This window comes from Homo sapiens, chromosome 5, assembly GCF_000001405.40.
Source record: "Homo sapiens chromosome 5, GRCh38.p14 Primary Assembly".
NCBI lineage: Eukaryota > Metazoa > Chordata > Mammalia > Primates > Hominidae > Homo > Homo sapiens.
The window spans coordinates 143277728-143300449 of record NC_000005.10 but is presented as its reverse complement, the minus strand read 5'-3'; the positions used below and the strand labels follow the sequence as shown (position 1 = coordinate 143300449).

At 36.7% G+C, this 22722-nt stretch overlaps 1 protein-coding gene across 22 annotated transcripts in view; it reads left to right on the top strand.

Annotated features, from left to right (window-relative positions):
- NR3C1 (nuclear receptor subfamily 3 group C member 1) overlaps positions 1 to 22519 on the top strand; it is a 157582-nt gene extending 135063 nt beyond the window's left edge. For 15 of the 22 annotated variants that reach the window (NR_157096.2, NM_001364183.2, NM_001364180.2 and 12 more), the window contains 4 exons: positions 1638 to 1782; positions 4860 to 4990; positions 17725 to 17882; positions 18409 to 22516. Coding sequence is in view for 21 of the 22 variants with exons in the window: in NM_001364183.2 (NP_001351112.1) it covers positions 1638 to 1782; positions 4860 to 4990; positions 17725 to 17882; positions 18409 to 18561 (587 nt within the window). In the remaining variant the exon portion in view is untranslated. Of the gene's footprint in view, positions 1 to 1637; positions 1783 to 4859; positions 6580 to 17724; positions 17883 to 18408 lie in introns of those variants that run through there. The other 7 variants (NM_001018075.1, NM_001018074.1, NM_001018077.1 and 4 more) reach the window with 4 other exon arrangements.

Here is a 22722-nt window from a genome sequence, read left to right as displayed (position 1 = left end):
CCTTTGTGTTTTCTTCAGCAAAAACACTTTGGCTTTTATATCATCGTGAGCCCATGGCTTATCTTGTTTCTCTTAGTTCTGGGGACTATGAAGGGGAGAGTCAGGTGAATACAGGTGATAGGGAGTTTATAATAAAACATTTACATTACTCCCTGCTTTTCAAATCATTATGCACAGGATGGTAATTTCACATAGGATGATGTAATATCAGAATTCAAGTTACAAGACTCACTCAAAACTCCTTTTACACTGAAGTTTGGGGAAAGAAAATGTTTTTAGTTAATTCCATTTGTTTTCCTTCATTGTGCCACTTTTAAAAATCAGGTTGTTTGTAAGATTGGTAAACATCAAGTATGTTGATTGTCAAAATTTGTACTAAAGTAGAATGATTTTAACCCTTCACTAAATGAAATGCTACACATTGAATGTAATTTTAAAGATAATTTTAAATAAAAGTTACCCTATTGGAATTTGGTGTGGAATGGCAGAGGTCAATGTTAGTGTCAGCTCTGACTTTAAAGACAGGGAATTGACAAGCCTGTGTTCACGCAAATAGTTAGGGAGAGAGCAAGAAAGTAACCTGACCTCCTGTCATCCTTGTTTTATTAAGGGGGAAAGAGGTGTGAATAGCAGGGCAAATGTTTTGCTTAACTCATTGATTAATACCTCAAGCCAAGATTCTTTTCTGTTTTTTAAAATCAATACATAATAGTTGTACATATTTACTGTACATATTTATATTTAGGGGGTACATGTAATAATTTAATAAAAGCATACAACGTGTAAGGATCAAATCAGAGTAACTGGGATATCCATCACCTCAAACATTTGTTTGGGGAACATTCCAAATCTTCTCTTTTAGCTATTTTGAAATATAAAGTAAATTATTGTTAACTATAGTCATCCTGTTGTGCTACTGAACACTAAAACTTATTTCTTCTAACTGTATTTTTGCACCCGTCAACCATTCCCGCTTCATCCCCATCACCACTATCTTTCCCGGTCACTGGTAACCGCCAAGCCAAGAATTTTGGCTATTTTACTATTTAGTTCATGTTTACTTAAGCAGACAGAGGTGACAAAACTGGCTTTTTTTTTTTTTTTTTACATTAAAAGCTATTAAAAAGCACCTAGGGGGCTGGGTGCGATGGCTCACGCCTGTAATCCCAGCACTTTGGGAAGCCCAGGTGGGTGGATCAGTTGAGGTCAGGAGTTCGAGACCAGCCTGGCCAGCATAGCAAAACCCCATCTCTACTAAAATTACAAAAATTAGCCGGGCATGGTGGTATGAATCTGTATTCCTAGCTACTTGGGAGGCTGGCACTGAGAATCACTTGAACCCGGGAGGCGGAGGTTGCAGTGAGCCGAGATGGCACCATTGCACTCCAGCCTGGGTGACAGAGCAAGACTTTGTCTCAATTAAAAAAAAAAAAAAAAAAAAAAACACAAGAGGGTTTGTGAGTCTTAAAGTGTCAGATGACAGAAGAAAACTGTGTCTACCTAGTATTTAATTTCCATTTTCTGTTAGGGGTGCCCTTGTTTTGACAGGGCTAATTGATCTCATTGCTCCTTGGCAATTCCCACAGAGATGATCTTCTGAAGAGTGTTGCCTCATACCTTTATTTCTCTTAATTCAGGTTTCAGGAACTTACACCTGGATGACCAAATGACCCTACTGCAGTACTCCTGGATGTTTCTTATGGCATTTGCTCTGGGGTGGAGATCATATAGACAATCAAGTGCAAACCTGCTGTGTTTTGCTCCTGATCTGATTATTAATGAGTAAGTTGTATGTGTGTCATTTTCCCTGTATTCATAGGGTATCTTTAACCAGCTGATGTTTTCCTGATTGACTGCTATTGTGATAATTCAGGACTGAAACAATCCTACTAGGTATCTAGGATCTAGGCAAACTGGAAATAGAGTTATGAGTGCTTGGGGCAGGACAAGTGTAATGTAAAGCAAATGTACATGTGGCATTATTACTGTCCCAGGACATGTTTGAGGATATTTAACAGCATATCTGAGGTTAGTAAAGTCTGTCGCAAGCAACAAGGAATCTTACTGTGATATCATTTACATAACCCTATTCCAGAAAGAAAAAGGAGCATGGTAAAACTCATGTGGATTCAGTGGGGACAATTGTAGATGAGGATATCTAGGCTGATGGGGTGGGACATATGGACCCAGACACAAGAGGTATCTCTTTGCATGGCAAGGCTCACCCAGTGTCTGTGGTTTAAGAATATGGGAACAAATTTGTTTTGTTTAACTGAGAGAAGACCAAGCCTTTAAGATTTTATAAATCAGCTATTCTCTTATCCTCTAAGCTTATTCCTGTGTCTGCGAAATACTTCAGGTGTCCATTTCCCCTTACCTCATTGCAGTTGTTTCCTCACTCGTTTTCTCCCTCCAGTGTAACGTTCATCATGTTGGCTAATGTTTGCTTCCTCAAGCACAGTCTGACTGCATCACATATCTCCCCAGTACACAGATTGTCTTCAGTATCTTCCCACTGACCCTCCAGTACATATTCTGCATGATTTCAGACTTTCCAGAATCTGACCTCACTTCCTCTCCCATTGTTTTCCTTCACACACTCTTCATTCCCATCCATCCTTTCCAGCATACTCTTAGACTCTTGGTGTTCACATCACCAGATACACAGCAGAGAAGTCACATCCTAGTTACTCTCACTTTCTACCTTGTATTACTACTTTTCGTACCCCTAGCTTATTGCTATTAGTACAATGTAAACAGGGAGTTCACACACACATACCCCTGGTCTAAGAAGAATAAAAAATGAAGGAGATTTCTGTTTGTATAGAAAACAGAAGTCACCTTGACTTTTATTGCCAAAAAGAGGACTGTTCAAACTACTGCATCACAATGTAACAAGATTAGGTAGTTGGATCCAATTTTAAATTAACTGGTAAATATATTTAGTTTCTGGGGAAACTGAAGACATTATTACTCATCATAATCCTACCATGCTGTTTAAAAAATACCATGTTGGCAGTATTTGTTTTTTAGTCACTTTCTAATATGTAATTTGAAGGCATTTAAGTGGAATTAAAAGCATAAACAGATTTGTATGAAACACCAACTTATCCTGGTTTATAAAACTAACCTAATTTAGGGTTTTTATTATTAGGGCATTCAGATTTAGCTTTAAGCAGTCACAGCAAAATCTAATCATGCCACATACATTCCTTACATAAAGTGGGATTTATAATTTTTTTTCCTCAACAGATTTACATTAGTTTCATTTTCATTAAGGGATATGTACTTCCTATTCTTGTGTTCTCATGCTGCTGCCTAAAAGATGGGCAGTCCTCCACCTTTTTCTTTTCTTTTTTTTTTTTTTTTTTTTTGAGACGAGTCTTACTCTGTCACCCAGGCTCAAGTGCAGTGGTGTGATCTTGGCTCATGGCAACCTCTGCCTCCAGGGTTCAAGTGATTCTCTGCCTCAGCCTCCCGAATAGCTGGGATTACAGGCGCACTCCACCACACTTGGCTAATTTTTTGTATTTTTAGTAGAGACGGGGTTTTGCCATATTGGCCAGGCTGGTCTTGAACTCCTGACCTCAAGTGATCCACCCACTTTGGCCTCCCAAAGTGCTGGGATTACAGGTGTGAGCCACCGCACCCAGCCCTCCACCCTTTTTTCTTAGCCCACTATGTTTCCATACTGCTCTGGTGTCTGTGACAGGCAGATATTGCATATCAGAAAGTATGCATTCAAGTTCTGACCCTCTATAGAGCTGTCAAACAGTCTCTCATGGTTGCCCTTAGGTCAGAACGTTGTGGGGGAAAAAAAAATTGTTGTTGTTTTTACAGCCAACAAGAATGAGTTTTTACTTATTCTACTACACTATAACTTTGTTGAAATTTTCAGTTATATGAGTATAACCATGTACAAGAAACTAAAGGAAAAAAAGGTGCCTCCCAGAAAAGGAGTGCTTTACCTACTATTAAGGACTAGGGAGGTGCCTCTTCGGTAAGAGCAGATTTTAAATTTGAAGAGCCTCTGATCACTTTGGCAGCATATAAGTCATGTCTAATTTATTTTATATAAAGGAATAAACCACATATTCAGTAGAGAAAAATAATAACCTTTCTGTTGTTAAGTCCAAGACGACTTTCTGTCAGAAACTTAAAAAAAAAAAAAAATCTTGAAGCATTTTAAAAGCTGTGAACTGGGCCCAGTTTCAGGCTCTTAGTGTCATTTCACAAGTCAGGAAACTTTAGAGACCTATTTGAAAATCATAGGTATGTAATGACTTCAGAATCATAAGCAAGAATTGGTTTAGTACCTTTAGTTTAAAGAATATTAAGGCATATGCCTGTCAGAGGCAGATTTTGAGCATCAGAAGTCTAGAATCAAGTTCTAGGTCTCGCCCTCTGCATAACTGTGAACAGTGTCACACATTTTTGTCTTTAGGATGGACTGCTGTGAAAAAATTTACCTTTAAAAATCAAGTGTGTAGGACCTAAAACTGTCGTCTAATTGACCGTATTCAAATGATAAACCTTGATTTAAATGAGCAACTAGTAATAAGTTCTATAAGAATTCTAACACTTTAATTAAATAATAAAATAATACATGGCATGCATGATAGAAAATAATATCTCCACTGTTACATTAGATTATTCATTAGTCTATTTAAACAGCCAAGATGCAGGAAGTTTAAGGAAAGTTCTCCAAAATTCTGATTTTATAGGGAATTAGCAATAATATTATTGCAGTAGTTGTTTTTCTTTATGAGTTCATAGTTTTGCAAAACAAAACAAAAATGTGCTTTTTGGGGGGAAGTAGCAGTATTTCTAACTAATACCCTGCTATTTATCTTTCACAGGCAGAGAATGACTCTACCCTGCATGTACGACCAATGTAAACACATGCTGTATGTTTCCTCTGAGTTACACAGGCTTCAGGTATCTTATGAAGAGTATCTCTGTATGAAAACCTTACTGCTTCTCTCTTCAGGTTGGTAGAACACCTTTTCACCTTATGTCAAAAGCATGAAATATGAAGGCCTAGAAACAAAGGTTAATTTATATACATAGTACTAATAATTATACCAAGTCTACTATTATTTCCTACTAGTCAGATGATTTTTATGAATGTAAAATATTAGAAAGGCACAGTAAGTGACACCAAGATTAATAAGACAAATAGGTATGGCAGAAACAGAGAGGTATATGAGCTGCATAGGGATCTCTGTTGATAAGAATCTGTGTAGACTTTTTTCTCCTTCCTTCCTTTGATCTTTGATCATGGGAAGACATGGAAAAAGAAAGCTAACTACAGTGATTTTGTCCACTACACTGTTATTTGGTTAAAAATTTTAGTTTCCTAATGAGTATTAGCATGTATGAGAAATTATGGGAGAAAAAGGCGCATCCTAGAAAAGGTGTGCTTAATTACTATTGGGGATTGGTTAACATAGCATGGGAGCTGGATTGTCAGAGATTCATTATCTAGAAAATGGCAACAAGAGTTTATAAAACGAACTTCTGTGAGATTACTTTTTAGCTAGCAAAGACAAAGATGTCCTTCAGTAGGTGAAGTGATAAACTATGATACATCCAGATGATGGAATACTATTGAGGACTAAAAAGAAATAAGCTGTCAAGCCATGAAAACACATGGAGGGACGTTAAATGCATATTACTAAGTGAAAAAAGCTAATCTGAAAGGGCTACATACTGTGTGATTCTAACTATATAACATTCCATAAAAGGCAAAACTGTGAAGACAGCAAAAAAAAATCAGCGGTTGCCAGGGTTTAGAAGGAAGGGAGGGATAAATGTGCAGAGCACAGAGGATTTTTAGGGCAGTGAAAATACTTCGTATGATACTACAATGGTGGAAACATGTCATTATACATTTATCCAAACCCAAAGAATGTCCACCACCAAGAGTGAACCCTCAACTATGGACTTTGGGTGATGATGTGTGGGACAGGAGGTATATGAAAAATCTCTGTACCTTCCTCCCAATTTTGCTGTGAACTTAAAACTGCTCTAAAAAAAGTCTTTTTTAAAAAAAGCTCTATGAACTAGTTGGTATTATAAACCTTAGGCCATTTCAAGTAAAAATTACATATCAATGTTTATTAAATACTGAGTTAATAGCTGAATACCTCTTTCATATACAAATAAGTACATTTGCAATTTTTTAAAAAGTCTTAATTCCATTAGTAACTGTGGTTTCATAGTTGCCAAATAACTGTAAGCTATGGATGTTGCACAAGACTGTGATTTTATTTAATCATTTCATATCTATTTAAACATTTCCAAAGCGCACATTCATCTTAATGTTTTCACACTATTTTTGCTCAACAAAAAGTTATTTTATGTTAATGGATATAAGAAGTATTAATAATATTTCAGTCAAGGCAAGAGAACCCGATAAAGATCATTGCTAGAGACGTTTAATGTTACCTGTAGCGGTACACTTGTTAAAGAAGTGATTAAGCAGTTACATAAAATTCTGATCATAGCTTTGATTGATACCATGAAGGTATAATTCAGTGCCTGGATACTAACAACTTTACTTGTTTAAAAAAAAAAAAAAAAGAATGGTTTCAATTGTATACATCCCAGACTAATTGAGCTATATGATTTTTTTCATTGTAAATAATATCACGAGTTCTTCTTGTTAAAAAATAATAGAATCATAAGGATGGAAATATATACCTTAAGATATAGACTTCTACTATGATAGACTACTGGAATAGGTATATAACCTCCCACCAAAAATGCTAGACTAAAAAAATTAAGAACTAAGTGAAGGCAGGAACCTACAGAGATAAGTGGAACTCAAGCCAACTTGCTCTTTGACGGCATTTGTAGAACCTGGTAAATTAGTAAGTTTAGTAAGTTGGGGTTTTTTTAAGTTTATAATCTTTTTTAAAATGATTTCAATAGGTTTTTGGGGAACAGGTAGTGGTAGGTTACATGAATAAGTTCTTTAGTGGTGATTTCTGGGATTTTGGTGCACCCATCACCCGAGCAGTGTACACTGTACCCAATGTGTAGTCTTTCATCCCTCATCCCCTCCCCAACCCTAGTCCACAAAGTCCATAATATCATTCTCATGCCTTTGCATCTTCATAGTTTAGCTCCCACTTAGAAGTGAGAACATGCAATATTTGGTTTCCCATTCCTGGGTTACTTCACTTACAATAATGGTTTCCAGTTCCATCCAGGTTGCTGCAAATGCCATTATTTTGTTCCTTTTTGTGGCTGAGTAGTATTCCATGGTATATATATACCACATTTTCTTTATCCACTCGTTGATTGATGGGCATTTGGACTGGTTCTGTATATTTAGTAAGTTTAAAAACAAGGGATGGAAATATAAATGCAGTTGAAAAGGCAGTGGATGGATCTAAAAGCAGAAGAATACAATTGTTTTTAATGATTGTGTATATGTTTGTGTATATAAACCACAAGGGAAATCTGTAGGTACTGAAAATCACAACAGGAAAATGGCAACAAAGCTATAGAAACTGGAAAAGCAATGACTTTTCTTAGATCCCTCAGAGAATGGAGGTCATAGGACAAACCACCACTTCAAAATCTAGAAGAATAGACAAATACAGAGAAACAGCCAAGATCAGCTTACTGGGAAAAGATGCCACTGAAGCCAGGAAGACTATGGCAATTTGGGAAAAGATGCCACTGAAGCCAGGAAGACTATGGCAATTTTGATGAATTGCTGGAGGCTGAGTGAGGACTAGCTTCAGAGTTAAAAACTCCCAGGGACCCAGTCTTAGTGGGGGTTTCCTGCAATTTCTTGGGTTTACCCCACAAAATTTCTAACTTCCAGAAACTCCACAAGGTTCTTATGGTGAAGATGCAAGAAAAATTCCCTCCTTTTTCTGGTAGGAGTAGAGGGAAGGTAAAATTTGGAAATACGTAGCAGAGTGTTCACAACAAAAGGCCTGCCCTGTAAGGAAAACTAATTCAACAGGCCCTTATGTGACCTGGGGGAAAGGCAAATAGAGGATTCTAGCCCTTCCTTAGCCTTCTTGTCTCATTTCTGAAAGTCACAGCCCAGGGATTCAGACCCACTAAAAAAAACTGAGATTTAATCATAAAGATTAAAAAACAATTCCCCTCCCCCTCCCCAACACCTTACCACCATATAAACAGGGCTCCAGGATAAAATAACAGTGGATTACAACTGAGAGAGCTGCAAGACACAAGCTGTTTAAGGAGCTCTTAGGAAACCCAAAAACAACAGAAGAAAAAGTAAATAAAAACAAGGAAACTAGAGGAAACTGAAGCCTCCAGTACCTACAATTATGGCAAACATTAAATACAGCCCAGCTCCTAGCCAGATTAGCATGAAACCTCACACTAAAAGTCTAATTACTTCAGTTTTGATATATCAATCATGTCCAGCTTTCAGCAAAAAAACTACAAGGCATGCTAAAAGGCAAGAAAAACCCACGGTCTGAAGAGACAAAACAAGCATCAGAAGCAGTCCTCAGATATGACACAAATATTTCAATTATCAGATAGGGAATTTACAATACCTATGATTAGTAGGTTAAAGGCTCCAATGGAAAAAAGTAGACAACATGCAAGAAGTGATGTACGCAGAGAGATGGAAACTCTAAAAATAAATGCTAAGGAATGCTGTAAGGAAATGCAGAATGATGTTGATGGGCTCATCAGTAGACTGAGCACAGCCAAGCAAAGAGTCAGTGAGCTTGAAGATAGATAGGTCAAAGGAAATTCCCCCAAACTCAAATGCAATATAAACATAGTAGACATTAATCCAGCTGTATCAGTAATTACTTTAAATTTGAATGCTCTAAGTACACCAATCAGCTATTTTTTTAACTAGGAGGTGAAAATAAAGTTTGCCACCAGATGCTCACTAAAAAATTATTAGAGGATATATCCCAGCCAGGCGTGGTGGCTCACACCGGTAATCCCAACACTTTGGGAGGCTGAGGCAGGCAGATCACAGAGTCAAGAGATCAAGACCATCCTGGCTTACGTGGTAAAACCCCATCTCTACTAGAAATACAAAACTTAGCTGGGGGTGGTGGTGCGCGCCTGTAGTCCCAGCTACTCAGGAGGCTGAGGCAGGAGAATCACTTGAACCTGGGACGTAGAGGTTGCAGAGAGCCAAGATAGCACCACTGCACTCCAGCCTAGTGACAGAGGGAGACTCCATCTTAGAAAAAAAATAATAAAAGTAATCCCATCTTTAAGAAGGACTGAAGAATAACAAAAGTGGTAAATAATATAGATACATTTAAACTGACATTTACTATGTATATAAAATAACAACAGTAACAATTTCCTTGAGGGCTAAAAAGTAGAACTAAAGTAAGTTTCAAGGATGACAACTAGAAATAGGGTATGCAGGGTATGCAAAGTACCAAACCATTGGGGGAAGAGAATACCTAAGAAAAACAATCCAAAAGAATGAAAGACATGAGAGGAGGGAGAAAAAAATGCATAAACAAGGGCATGATAACAGGAAGTAACAGATAAGGTACATTAGTACAGCTAAATTCAAACACATCAGTAGTTTAGTTTCATTAAATATAGAGATGGGGCCAGGTGTAGTGGCTCACACCTATAATCCCAGCACTTTGGGAGGCTGTGGGCAGATCACTTGAGGTCAGGAGTTCGAGACCAGCCTGACCAACATGGCGAAACCCCGACTCTACTAAAACTATAAAAAGCCGGGTGTGGTGGTGCATGCCTGTTATCCTAGCTACTCGGGAGGCTGAGGCACAAGAATCATTTGAACCTGGGAGATGGAGGTTGCAGTGAGCCAAGATCGTGCCACTCTTCTCCAAACTGGGTGACAGAGGGACACTGTCTCAAAAATAAAATAAATGTAGAGATGGACTGAATGCTCCAAGCTAATCTGACAGGATTTTAGAAATAATCCAAATTTATGCTATTTAAAAAAAGCTATATCTGAATAAAGATATTGAAAGGCTGAAGTAAAAGGATCTACTTTGCATAGTATAACCCAAGACATGGCCAACTTTTTCTGTAAAGGGCCAGATGGTAAATGTTGTTAGCTTTGCACAGTCTCTGTCACAGCTACTAAACTCTGCCCTTGTGGCAGGAACATAGTCATTGACGGTACTCAAATAGAACAGGCATGGCTGTGTTCCAATAAAACTTTATTTACAAATACAGGCTGCAAGTAGGATTTGGCCCATAGGCCAAAGTTTGCTGGCCCCTATATTGACCAAAACAAAACCGAAGGAGCTACATTATTACCAAGCAAAATAGATGTTAAGGCAAAATACTCCTTAAAGCATTTGTTCAGGAAAAATAATTGTAAATATATAGTTTCAAATTACATAATACAAAAATTCATAGAACAAGAATACTTAGATAAATCTAGTAAAAATAATGAGATTTTACTATACCTTTCTTACAAATTAAGCAGACAAAAAAATAAGGATATGGATGTACATTTCATCTCTCTTGGGTCAATACTGAGGTGTGAGATCACTGGGACATAGGTTGAGTGTGTGTTTAAATTTATTTTTAAAATTGCCAAACTTTTCCGCAATTGTTAACATTTACCAGAAATGTATGAGACTTCTTAAGATCCATTCTATATCCTCCTCAGTACTTGGTACTGTCAGCCTCTTTCATCGTAGGTATACTGATGATTAAAAATATTAAGCATCTTTTCATGGGCTTATTGGCCACCTATATTTCTTATTTGGTATTGTGCCTCTTTTAATCTTTTGCCCATTTTTTAACTGGGTTTTAAGAATTGTTCAAATATTCTCAATGTGGCCCTTTGTTAAATATATGTTTTGCATGTTTTCTTTAAGTGGATTACATTTACAGTTTTCTTAAAAAAATGTAGAGATGAGCAAAAGTGTATAATTTTGAAGAAAGCTTCGTGTCTTTGTTTACTAAGAAAGTTTTGCTTAATCCAGGGTTAAAAAGATTTTCTACTATTTGTTTTCTTATAGAAATTCTGTAGTTTCAGCTCACATGCTTAAGTATATGATGCAAGGTAAGGGACAAGGTTCATTTTCTTCCCCAAAATCCATATCTGGTTGCTCCAGAACTTGACTCTCTTTTCCCTATTGAGTTACTTGGCAATTTTGTAGAAAATCAGTTGTTTGTATATGTGTGGGTCTACTTTCAGACTCTTTTTCTTACCCAACGATCTGTATTTCTTACCCAATGATCTGTATGCCTATATTCATATTGATAACACCCTGTCTTGATTACTGTTGCATTACAGTAAATCTTGAAATTTGGTAATATGAATTCTCCAAATCTGTTGTTCTTTTCCAAACTGTTGTTTTGGATATTCTAGTTTCCTTGCATTTCCACTTCCTTTTTTTTTTTTTTTTTTGAGATGGAGTCTCACTATTGTTGCCCAGGCTGGAGTGCAGTGGCATGATCTTGGCTCATCGCAGCCTCAGCCTCCCCAGCAGTGGGATTGCAGGCACCCACCATCATGCTTGGCTAATTTTTGTATTTTTAGTAGAGACGGGGTTTCGCCATGTTGGCCAGGCTGGTCTCAAACCCTGACCTCAGGTGATCCACCCACCTCGGCCTCCCAAAGTGCTGGGATTACAGGCATGAGCCACTGTGCCTGGTCTTCCACGTATTTTTTAATTAGCTTGACAATCTCTACCAAAAAGTCTTTTGGGGCTGGGTGTGGTAGTTCATGCCTGTAATTCCACCACTTTGAGAGGCCAAGGCAGGCAGATCGCTTAAGCCCAGGAGTTTGAGACCAGCCTGGGCAAAATGTCGAAACCCTGTCACTACACAAAATAGAAAAAATTAGCCAGGCATGGTAGCTTGTGCCTGTAGTCCCAGCTACCCAGGAGGCTGAGGAGGGAGGTCAAGGCTGCAGTGAGCCATGATCATGCCAGTGCACTCTAGCCTGGGCAACAGAGTGAGACTCTGTCTCAAAAACACAGTCTGATAGAATTTTTATTAGGATAGCCTTGAATCTATAGATCCATTTGAAAATAATTAACATCTTAAATTTCCAATTTCTGGCCGGGCGCTATGGCTCACGCCTGTAATTCCAGCACGTTGGGAGGCCGAGGTGGGCAGATCATCAAGTCAGGAGTTCGAGACCAGCCTGACCAACATGGTGAAACCCTGTCTCTACTAAAAATACAAAAAAATTAGCCAGGCGTGGTGGCACATGCCTGTAGTCCCAGCTACTCAGGAGGCTGAGGCAGGAGAATCGCTTGAATCTGGGAGGCAGAGGTTGCAGTAAGCCGAGATTGTGCCACTGTACTCCAGCCTGGGCAACAGAGTGAGGCTCCGTCTCCAAAAAAAAAAAAAAAAATTCCAGTTGTTGAGAAAGAATAGGAATTCCAGCTTTGGAGGAGTGGGGAGACCATCAAATCCTCTTTCCAAAAATACTACTAAAATACTACTGAGCAGAGTATAGTTCCACAAATAGTCTTCTGTAAAGAGACTCACAGTACATATTTGTCTTTGTAGGCCATATAGTCCCTGTTGCAATTTCTCAATTCTACAGCTATAACAGGAAAGCAGCTATATACAGTATGTGAATGCTTGTGTTCTAATACAAATTTATTTGCAAAATCAGGAAAATGGCTTGAAATGGTTTAAGATCTAGTTTTCTGACTAGATCATGGTATATAATCTTTTCCATATATATTTTGAATTTGGTTTGCTAATATTTTGCTGATCATTTTTATATCTCTCTTTATGAAGGATGCTGATCTACAACTTTCTTTTCTTGTGATATCTTTTTCTGGCTTTGCTACCAGGGTAGTACTAGCCTCTTAAAATGAGTTGAGAAGTATTTTCTGTTTTCTTAAAGAGTTTATAGAGTATTGATCTTATTTATTCTTTAAATATTTGATACATGTTACCAGTGAAGCCATCTGGGTCTGTGTTTTCTTTCAGGGAAGATTTTTAATTATTTGCTTATTTGTTATATAGATCTATTCAGAATTTATATTTTTCCTTGACATAGTTTTGTAATTTGTGTGTTTCTATGAAATGAGCCATTTTGTCTGAGTTGTCTAACTTGGGCATAAAGTTGTTTGTAATCCTTTAAGTTTTGTAGGATCCATAGAGGTGTCCCCTCCATTATAGATTTTCATAATTTGTGCCTGATCATCTTTTTTTCATGGTCAGTCTAGTTAAAAATTTATCAATTTTGTTGGTCTTTACAAAGAACCAATTTTTAGTTTCATTGAAATTTTTAGTTTCATTGATTTTCTCTTTTTGTTTCCTATGTCATTGATTATTATTTCTTCTTTTCTGCTTGCTTTTCATTTAATTTGTTCCTCTTTTTCTAGTTTAAGGTAGAAGCTTCCATTGTTAGTTGAAGACCTTATTTTCTTATATAGATGTTTAAAGCTATACATTTTTTGTATATTTTCATTCATTTCATTTTCTAATGTCCTTCATGATTTTTTTCATTGACCCATGTGTATTGCTTAATTTTTATATATTTGGGGATTTTCCATATCTCTTCCTATTCATTTCTAATTTAATTCCACTGAGGTAGGAGGTACATTGAAGGACTCTAATATTGAATGACTCCAATAAGTCTTCTGAGACTTTTTTAGGCACTTGCATATGGTCTATCCTGAGTGTTCCATGAGTGCTTGAAAAAAAACTTACTGTGCTCTTGTTAAGTAGAGTTTTATGAACGTCAGTTAGGTCAAGTTGATTGATAGACTAATTCAAGTTTTCTGTATCTTTGCTGATTTTCTGTCTAGTTGTTCTAGATCCTACAACTTTGTCTACATCCTTGCCAGAGCTTGGTATGGTTTTTTTATTATCGCTATCCTAGAGAGTATGTAGTTGACCCTTGTGACTTGCCATGCATTTAATGACTGCCCATGTTCATAGCAGCATTATTCATAATAGCAAAAAAAACTTTTATCATATGCTTTTGTGCCTCAAGATCATATATTTTTCGTTTTTAGTCACTAATATGGTATAATGGTATAATATACTGTTTAATTTCTGAGTAATTGACTAGCCTTTCATTCCGGGGATAAATCCTATTTGGTTATGATATAGTATCCTTTTTACATATAGCTGAATTCATTGTACTAAAATTTTGGTATTTTTGCATCTAAATCCATGAGGGATATATTCTATAGCTTTGGTGTTATGATAATATGGTATTATTTCTTTCTTAAACGTTTGGTAAAACTCAGCAGTGAAGCTGTCTTGGTTTGTTTGGAGCCTTTTTTGTAGAAAGGTTTTCAAGTACAAGTTCATCAAATGTTTACTGATAATATGTTTATTCTTGAGTGAGCTTTGTTGGTTTACATCTTTGAAGGAATTTAACTGTTTCCTTCAAATGTTGAATTTATTGGTATAAAGTTAAGTTATTCATAATATTCCCATAATATCCTTCTAATGGCTCCAGTATCTCTAGTGTTATTCCCTTTCATTCCCGACATTGGTATTTAATATATTCTTGCTTTTTTTTTTTTTTTTTAATCAGTCTGGCTAAAAGTTTTTCAGTTTTACCAATGTTTTCATAGAACCAGCTTGGTCTTGATTTTGTTGTTGTTTATGCATGTTCTTAGTTATTCGTTTCTACTCTTTATCCTTTCCATTTTTCTTGTGTTTAGGGTAGAAGCATATATAATTAATTGAGACCTTTCTTTTCTAATCAAAGCTTTTAATGCTGTAAATTTTCTAAGCACTGTCTTCATTGCATCCCACACATTTTGATATGCTGTGTTTTCAGTACTAGAGATTTTTAATTTTATGATACCTTATTTAATCATGATGCCTTATTTAATCTATAGCTTATTAAATGTCAAATTCTAAACATTTGGGTTTTTCTCCAGATATGTTTGTTACTGACTTCTATTTTAATCTCATTTTTGTCAGACAGCATTCATTGTATGACTTAATCCTCCTAAATGTATTCAGACTTGTTTTATGTTCTAGATTAATGTTCTGTGTATACTTGAAAAGAATGCAAGTTCTTGGGTAGACTGTTTCAGAAATGTCAGTCAAATTTAAGTCTTGTTTATTCTTATTGATTCTGAGACAAAGGTGTTTATAATGTTAGATTTGTCTGCTATATCTCTGACATTGCCAAATATCCCCTTGGAGGCAAAATCTCCCCCTCCCTTTTGAGAACCACTGATCTATGTAGCCTTTTTTCTGGGACTAATTTAGCCTTGCTTCTGAGATGTGGCCCCTAGGTCTCTACTGAATGCCCGGCATATTTAATTAGATCTTTCTTTCCTCTATGGCCTCAAGGGATTTCACCCTAAGTATGCACAAATTTTTATTCAGCCGAAGACTGTACAGATTTCTGGAGGCCTTTCTTTGTGTACCTCCTTCGTTTCCAGTAGTCTGACCCATAAATTGTACAGATTTCTGGAGGCCTTTCTTTGTGTACCTCCTTCGTTTCCAGTAGTCTGACCCATAAATTGTACAGATTTCTGGAGGCCTTTCTTTGTGTACCTCCTTCGTTTCCAGTAGTCTGACCCATAAATTAAAGCTGCTTTAGCCTCCCCAAACTTCAATCTCTTTCTCCTCAACCCAGCAAGATTGCTAGACCCTGGGTTCCCTTTCCCTTCACTGCAGTATGATAATTACTTTCAAGCACAAAGGTTTAGAATTAAGATTTCTTACTCCTGGGCTAGGTATGGCTTACCGTATTTGTTTCTCTTTTCCTAGGGATCATAATCATGTATTGCTTGTTGTCCAGTTTTCCAGTAGGAGGGGAATTCCAGGCTGTACTTACTTCCTGCAGCCAAAAGAGGAAGTAATGTTAGTGATTTCAATATTAAAACATTAAAAAAAAATTTAAGATGGATGAAATTCTTTTATATGCATATTGAATTGGGCTTCACCATAGTTATTTTTAGAATTAGGACTAACCGGCAGGGAAAAAAACTATACGGCAGGGAAAAAAACTATAAGCCATCGCTGTTTTACAATTTTGCAATAATTAGATTTTCTGTAGTATAGTAATGTGTAAAATTAACCCATTGTTAATATAGAATGCCGTTATCACTCCTGATTAAGCGGTCTTCATTTTCATGTTAATACTGATGTCTTGTAATGCTTTATGGAATCAAACATTTTCATACATATTCATTAGTCTAATTCTAATCATAATCCAATGAAAAAGAGCAGGAAAGATGCTCAAGGAGGTTATATTCAAGTCCACATGGCAAGTAAGAAATAAGACTACTCGGCTGGGCATGGTGACTTACTGCCTGAAATCCCAGCACTTTGGGAGGCCAAGGTGAGCGGAATTGCTTGAACCTGGGAGGCGGAAGTGGCAGTGAGCTGAGATCATGCCAATGCACTCCAGCCTAGGCAACACAGCAAGACTCTGTCTCGGGAAAAAAATAATAATAATAAGACTTCTAGAAGCTCCTAAATCCATAGCTTTTCCTCTATACCAGCATCTTCTAAAAATGTCAGCAGCAGTGAAGTTTCAGTTTGGGAAATAATGCATTTCCCCTCTCTGGAGAGTGCACAGTTATATCTCCAAGAAGTACTGAAATTCAGAAGTCTGCCTAATATGTATTAAACATTTAGCTTTTCTCAAACTTTGACCACCAAATCCTTTGTCTCGCTCTAACTATAGTTAACACAGAATCAGTGTTCCCAGGAGCACACTGTGAAAAATGTAGCACTCTACAAAAGTCCTAATCTCCACAGGATTAAGTGAAACCATGATTAACCCTCTGTTCCTTGTCCTTATTAGTACCATTTTCTGAAGAGTAATGTATCCCCCCAAAACTTTTATACTAGTTTCACTAACCAGAATCCATGTACATAAGGAAGGACAGATATTTGCTCCCTACTAAGACATATCTATTAGCTACATTAAAAAAAGTATTGCATGCCGATTTTAAAGTTATAATTAACTGGTGATATCACAGATATTCCAAGATATAATTGCTGGAATAAACACTGTTGTTGAAGCCTTCTATCTATCTCAGTACTAGAATTAAACTCAAGTGCAGAATGGCAGACAAAGTTAACTAAAAATCACTGTATTATTTCATTTGGTCCTCCAAATAGCTTTGTGAGCTAAGGAGGAGAAGGTGTATCATCACCACTTCCATTTTATAGATGAGAAATCAAGTGATTTACTCAAGGTTAAGTCCTCCAATTCTTTGTTATCCTGCATTTTCTCTTGGCTGTAGTTTAATTAATAATCCTAAGAAAATGCTTATATTTTAGAGTGCAGTAAGAGTACATAAACAATGTTAAATGCCCATCTTGCATGTATAAAAAGTTATAGCAAGAAATCTGGCTGGGAATGGTGGCTCACACCTGTAATCCTGGCACTTTGGGAGGCCGAGGCAGGAGGATTGCTTGAGCCCAGGAGTTTAAGACCAGCCTGGGCAACATAGGGAGATCCTGTCTCTACAAAAAAATTTAGCCAGACACAGTGGCTTGTGTCCTAGCTACTCAGGAGGCTGAGGTGGGAGGATCACTTGAGCCAAGGAGGTCAAGGCTCCAGTGAGCTATGATTATGCCACTCAGACATGGTGGCTTGTGCCTACAGTCCTAGCTACTCAGGAGGCTGAGGTGGGAGGATCACTTGAGCCAAGGAGGTCAAGGCTCCAGTGAGCTATGATTATGCCACTGCACTCCAGCCTGGATGACACAGTGAGACCCTATCTATCTCAAAAAAAAAAAAAAAAGAAAAGAAAAGAAAAAGAAAATCCTTTAACTGACTTCATCTTAACCTTTTAGTTCCTAAGGACGGTCTGAAGAGCCAAGAGCTATTTGATGAAATTAGAATGACCTACATCAAAGAGCTAGGAAAAGCCATTGTCAAGAGGGAAGGAAACTCCAGCCAGAACTGGCAGCGGTTTTATCAACTGACAAAACTCTTGGATTCTATGCATGAAGTAAGTGTCAAACATAAAGCCAAATATAAGAGTTTTCTGGGACAAAGTATGTTTTGATTAGTGAATATAATTATATACCAGCAGCGCCCCCACCCCCGCCCCCAGTTTGTGGATGTTGGTGATAGCTTGAGTTCAACTTATGAACTTCAGTTTTGTAGACATTTTTCCTAAGGCCAATTATGAAATATCCTTTCACCTAGTCATGTGTATATAAAATCACCATGTTATTACAGAATTTAGTAATACTGTTTTTAAAAAGTATGATTAATCCATTAAATTAGAATAATGCACCCTTCATATATTATGGTACTACAGTGATTCATGAAATAATTCTATATAATTCTACATACAATCAAAGAAATATAAAATGTGTTTTGTACGGAAGTGCTTATTTTTCATCTGGGGAATTCCAGTGAGATTGGTATATTCTAGGCCAGATAATTTTTTCAAAATAGAGGACAACAAACATGAGATGTTCCCACTGACCAATTTGGAAGCCTGATCATTACCATATCTTCTCTTGCAGGTGGTTGAAAATCTCCTTAACTATTGCTTCCAAACATTTTTGGATAAGACCATGAGTATTGAATTCCCCGAGATGTTAGCTGAAATCATCACCAATCAGATACCAAAATATTCAAATGGAAATATCAAAAAACTTCTGTTTCATCAAAAGTGACTGCCTTAATAAGAATGGTTGCCTTAAAGAAAGTCGAATTAATAGCTTTTATTGTATAAACTATCAGTTTGTCCTGTAGAGGTTTTGTTGTTTTATTTTTTATTGTTTTCATCTGTTGTTTTGTTTTAAATACGCACTACATGTGGTTTATAGAGGGCCAAGACTTGGCAACAGAAGCAGTTGAGTCGTCATCACTTTTCAGTGATGGGAGAGTAGATGGTGAAATTTATTAGTTAATATATCCCAGAAATTAGAAACCTTAATATGTGGACGTAATCTCCACAGTCAAAGAAGGATGGCACCTAAACCACCAGTGCCCAAAGTCTGTGTGATGAACTTTCTCTTCATACTTTTTTTCACAGTTGGCTGGATGAAATTTTCTAGACTTTCTGTTGGTGTATCCCCCCCCTGTATAGTTAGGATAGCATTTTTGATTTATGCATGGAAACCTGAAAAAAAGTTTACAAGTGTATATCAGAAAAGGGAAGTTGTGCCTTTTATAGCTATTACTGTCTGGTTTTAACAATTTCCTTTATATTTAGTGAACTACGCTTGCTCATTTTTTCTTACATAATTTTTTATTCAAGTTATTGTACAGCTGTTTAAGATGGGCAGCTAGTTCGTAGCTTTCCCAAATAAACTCTAAACATTAATCAATCATCTGTGTGAAAATGGGTTGGTGCTTCTAACCTGATGGCACTTAGCTATCAGAAGACCACAAAAATTGACTCAAATCTCCAGTATTCTTGTCAAAAAAAAAAAAAAAAAAGCTCATATTTTGTATATATCTGCTTCAGTGGAGAATTATATAGGTTGTGCAAATTAACAGTCCTAACTGGTATAGAGCACCTAGTCCAGTGACCTGCTGGGTAAACTGTGGATGATGGTTGCAAAAGACTAATTTAAAAAATAACTACCAAGAGGCCCTGTCTGTACCTAACGCCCTATTTTTGCAATGGCTATATGGCAAGAAAGCTGGTAAACTATTTGTCTTTCAGGACCTTTTGAAGTAGTTTGTATAACTTCTTAAAAGTTGTGATTCCAGATAACCAGCTGTAACACAGCTGAGAGACTTTTAATCAGACAAAGTAATTCCTCTCACTAAACTTTACCCAAAAACTAAATCTCTAATATGGCAAAAATGGCTAGACACCCATTTTCACATTCCCATCTGTCACCAATTGGTTAATCTTTCCTGATGGTACAGGAAAGCTCAGCTACTGATTTTTGTGATTTAGAACTGTATGTCAGACATCCATGTTTGTAAAACTACACATCCCTAATGTGTGCCATAGAGTTTAACACAAGTCCTGTGAATTTCTTCACTGTTGAAAATTATTTTAAACAAAATAGAAGCTGTAGTAGCCCTTTCTGTGTGCACCTTACCAACTTTCTGTAAACTCAAAACTTAACATATTTACTAAGCCACAAGAAATTTGATTTCTATTCAAGGTGGCCAAATTATTTGTGTAATAGAAAACTGAAAATCTAATATTAAAAATATGGAACTTCTAATATATTTTTATATTTAGTTATAGTTTCAGATATATATCATATTGGTATTCACTAATCTGGGAAGGGAAGGGCTACTGCAGCTTTACATGCAATTTATTAAAATGATTGTAAAATAGCTTGTATAGTGTAAAATAAGAATGATTTTTAGATGAGATTGTTTTATCATGACATGTTATATATTTTTTGTAGGGGTCAAAGAAATGCTGATGGATAACCTATATGATTTATAGTTTGTACATGCATTCATACAGGCAGCGATGGTCTCAGAAACCAAACAGTTTGCTCTAGGGGAAGAGGGAGATGGAGACTGGTCCTGTGTGCAGTGAAGGTTGCTGAGGCTCTGACCCAGTGAGATTACAGAGGAAGTTATCCTCTGCCTCCCATTCTGACCACCCTTCTCATTCCAACAGTGAGTCTGTCAGCGCAGGTTTAGTTTACTCAATCTCCCCTTGCACTAAAGTATGTAAAGTATGTAAACAGGAGACAGGAAGGTGGTGCTTACATCCTTAAAGGCACCATCTAATAGCGGGTTACTTTCACATACAGCCCTCCCCCAGCAGTTGAATGACAACAGAAGCTTCAGAAGTTTGGCAATAGTTTGCATAGAGGTACCAGCAATATGTAAATAGTGCAGAATCTCATAGGTTGCCAATAATACACTAATTCCTTTCTATCCTACAACAAGAGTTTATTTCCAAATAAAATGAGGACATGTTTTTGTTTTCTTTGAATGCTTTTTGAATGTTATTTGTTATTTTCAGTATTTTGGAGAAATTATTTAATAAAAAAACAATCATTTGCTTTTTGAATGCTCTCTAAAAGGGAATGTAATATTTTAAGATGGTGTGTAACCCGGCTGGATAAATTTTTGGTGCCTAAGAAAACTGCTTGAATATTCTTATCAATGACAGTGTTAAGTTTCAAAAAGAGCTTCTAAAACGTAGATTATCATTCCTTTATAGAATGTTATGTGGTTAAAACCAGAAAGCACATCTCACACATTAATCTGATTTTCATCCCAACAATCTTGGCGCTCAAAAAATAGAACTCAATGAGAAAAAGAAGATTATGTGCACTTCGTTGTCAATAATAAGTCAACTGATGCTCATCGACAACTATAGGAGGCTTTTCATTAAATGGGAAAAGAAGCTGTGCCCTTTTAGGATACGTGGGGGAAAAGAAAGTCATCTTAATTATGTTTAATTGTGGATTTAAGTGCTATATGGTGGTGCTGTTTGAAAGCAGATTTATTTCCTATGTATGTGTTATCTGGCCATCCCAACCCAAACTGTTGAAGTTTGTAGTAACTTCAGTGAGAGTTGGTTACTCACAACAAATCCTGAAAAGTATTTTTAGTGTTTGTAGGTATTCTGTGGGATACTATACAAGCAGAACTGAGGCACTTAGGACATAACACTTTTGGGGTATATATATCCAAATGCCTAAAACTATGGGAGGAAACCTTGGCCACCCCAAAAGGAAAACTAACATGATTTGTGTCTATGAAGTGCTGGATAATTAGCATGGGATGAGCTCTGGGCATGCCATGAAGGAAAGCCACGCTCCCTTCAGAATTCAGAGGCAGGGAGCAATTCCAGTTTCACCTAAGTCTCATAATTTTAGTTCCCTTTTAAAAACCCTGAAAACTACATCACCATGGAATGAAAAATATTGTTATACAATACATTGATCTGTCAAACTTCCAGAACCATGGTAGCCTTCAGTGAGATTTCCATCTTGGCTGGTCACTCCCTGACTGTAGCTGTAGGTGAATGTGTTTTTGTGTGTGTGTGTCTGGTTTTAGTGTCAGAAGGGAAATAAAAGTGTAAGGAGGACACTTTAAACCCTTTGGGTGGAGTTTCGTAATTTCCCAGACTATTTTCAAGCAACCTGGTCCACCCAGGATTAGTGACCAGGTTTTCAGGAAAGGATTTGCTTCTCTCTAGAAAATGTCTGAAAGGATTTTATTTTCTGATGAAAGGCTGTATGAAAATACCCTCCTCAAATAACTTGCTTAACTACATATAGATTCAAGTGTGTCAATATTCTATTTTGTATATTAAATGCTATATAATGGGGACAAATCTATATTATACTGTGTATGGCATTATTAAGAAGCTTTTTCATTATTTTTTATCACAGTAATTTTAAAATGTGTAAAAATTAAAACCAGTGACTCCTGTTTAAAAATAAAAGTTGTAGTTTTTTATTCATGCTGAATAATAATCTGTAGTTAAAAAAAAAGTGTCTTTTTACCTACGCAGTGAAATGTCAGACTGTAAAACCTTGTGTGGAAATGTTTAACTTTTATTTTTTCATTTAAATTTGCTGTTCTGGTATTACCAAACCACACATTTGTACCGAATTGGCAGTAAATGTTAGCCATTTACAGCAATGCCAAATATGGAGAAACATCATAATAAAAAAATCTGCTTTTTCATTATGTGACTCCAACATGCTTTTGTAGAACTTGTACAGTTCCGATTGTCCAATCTGATTTTTGTTTACTGAAAGTAGAGTTACCCCTGCTTCAGGAACCTTAAGATAATATGGTGGGCATTTAAATGTCAGTGTGGCAATGTTCGCCTGCTAATATGGCATAGATTCAAAATAAGCTTAACCCTGGTGCCAAAGACCTGAAGATTA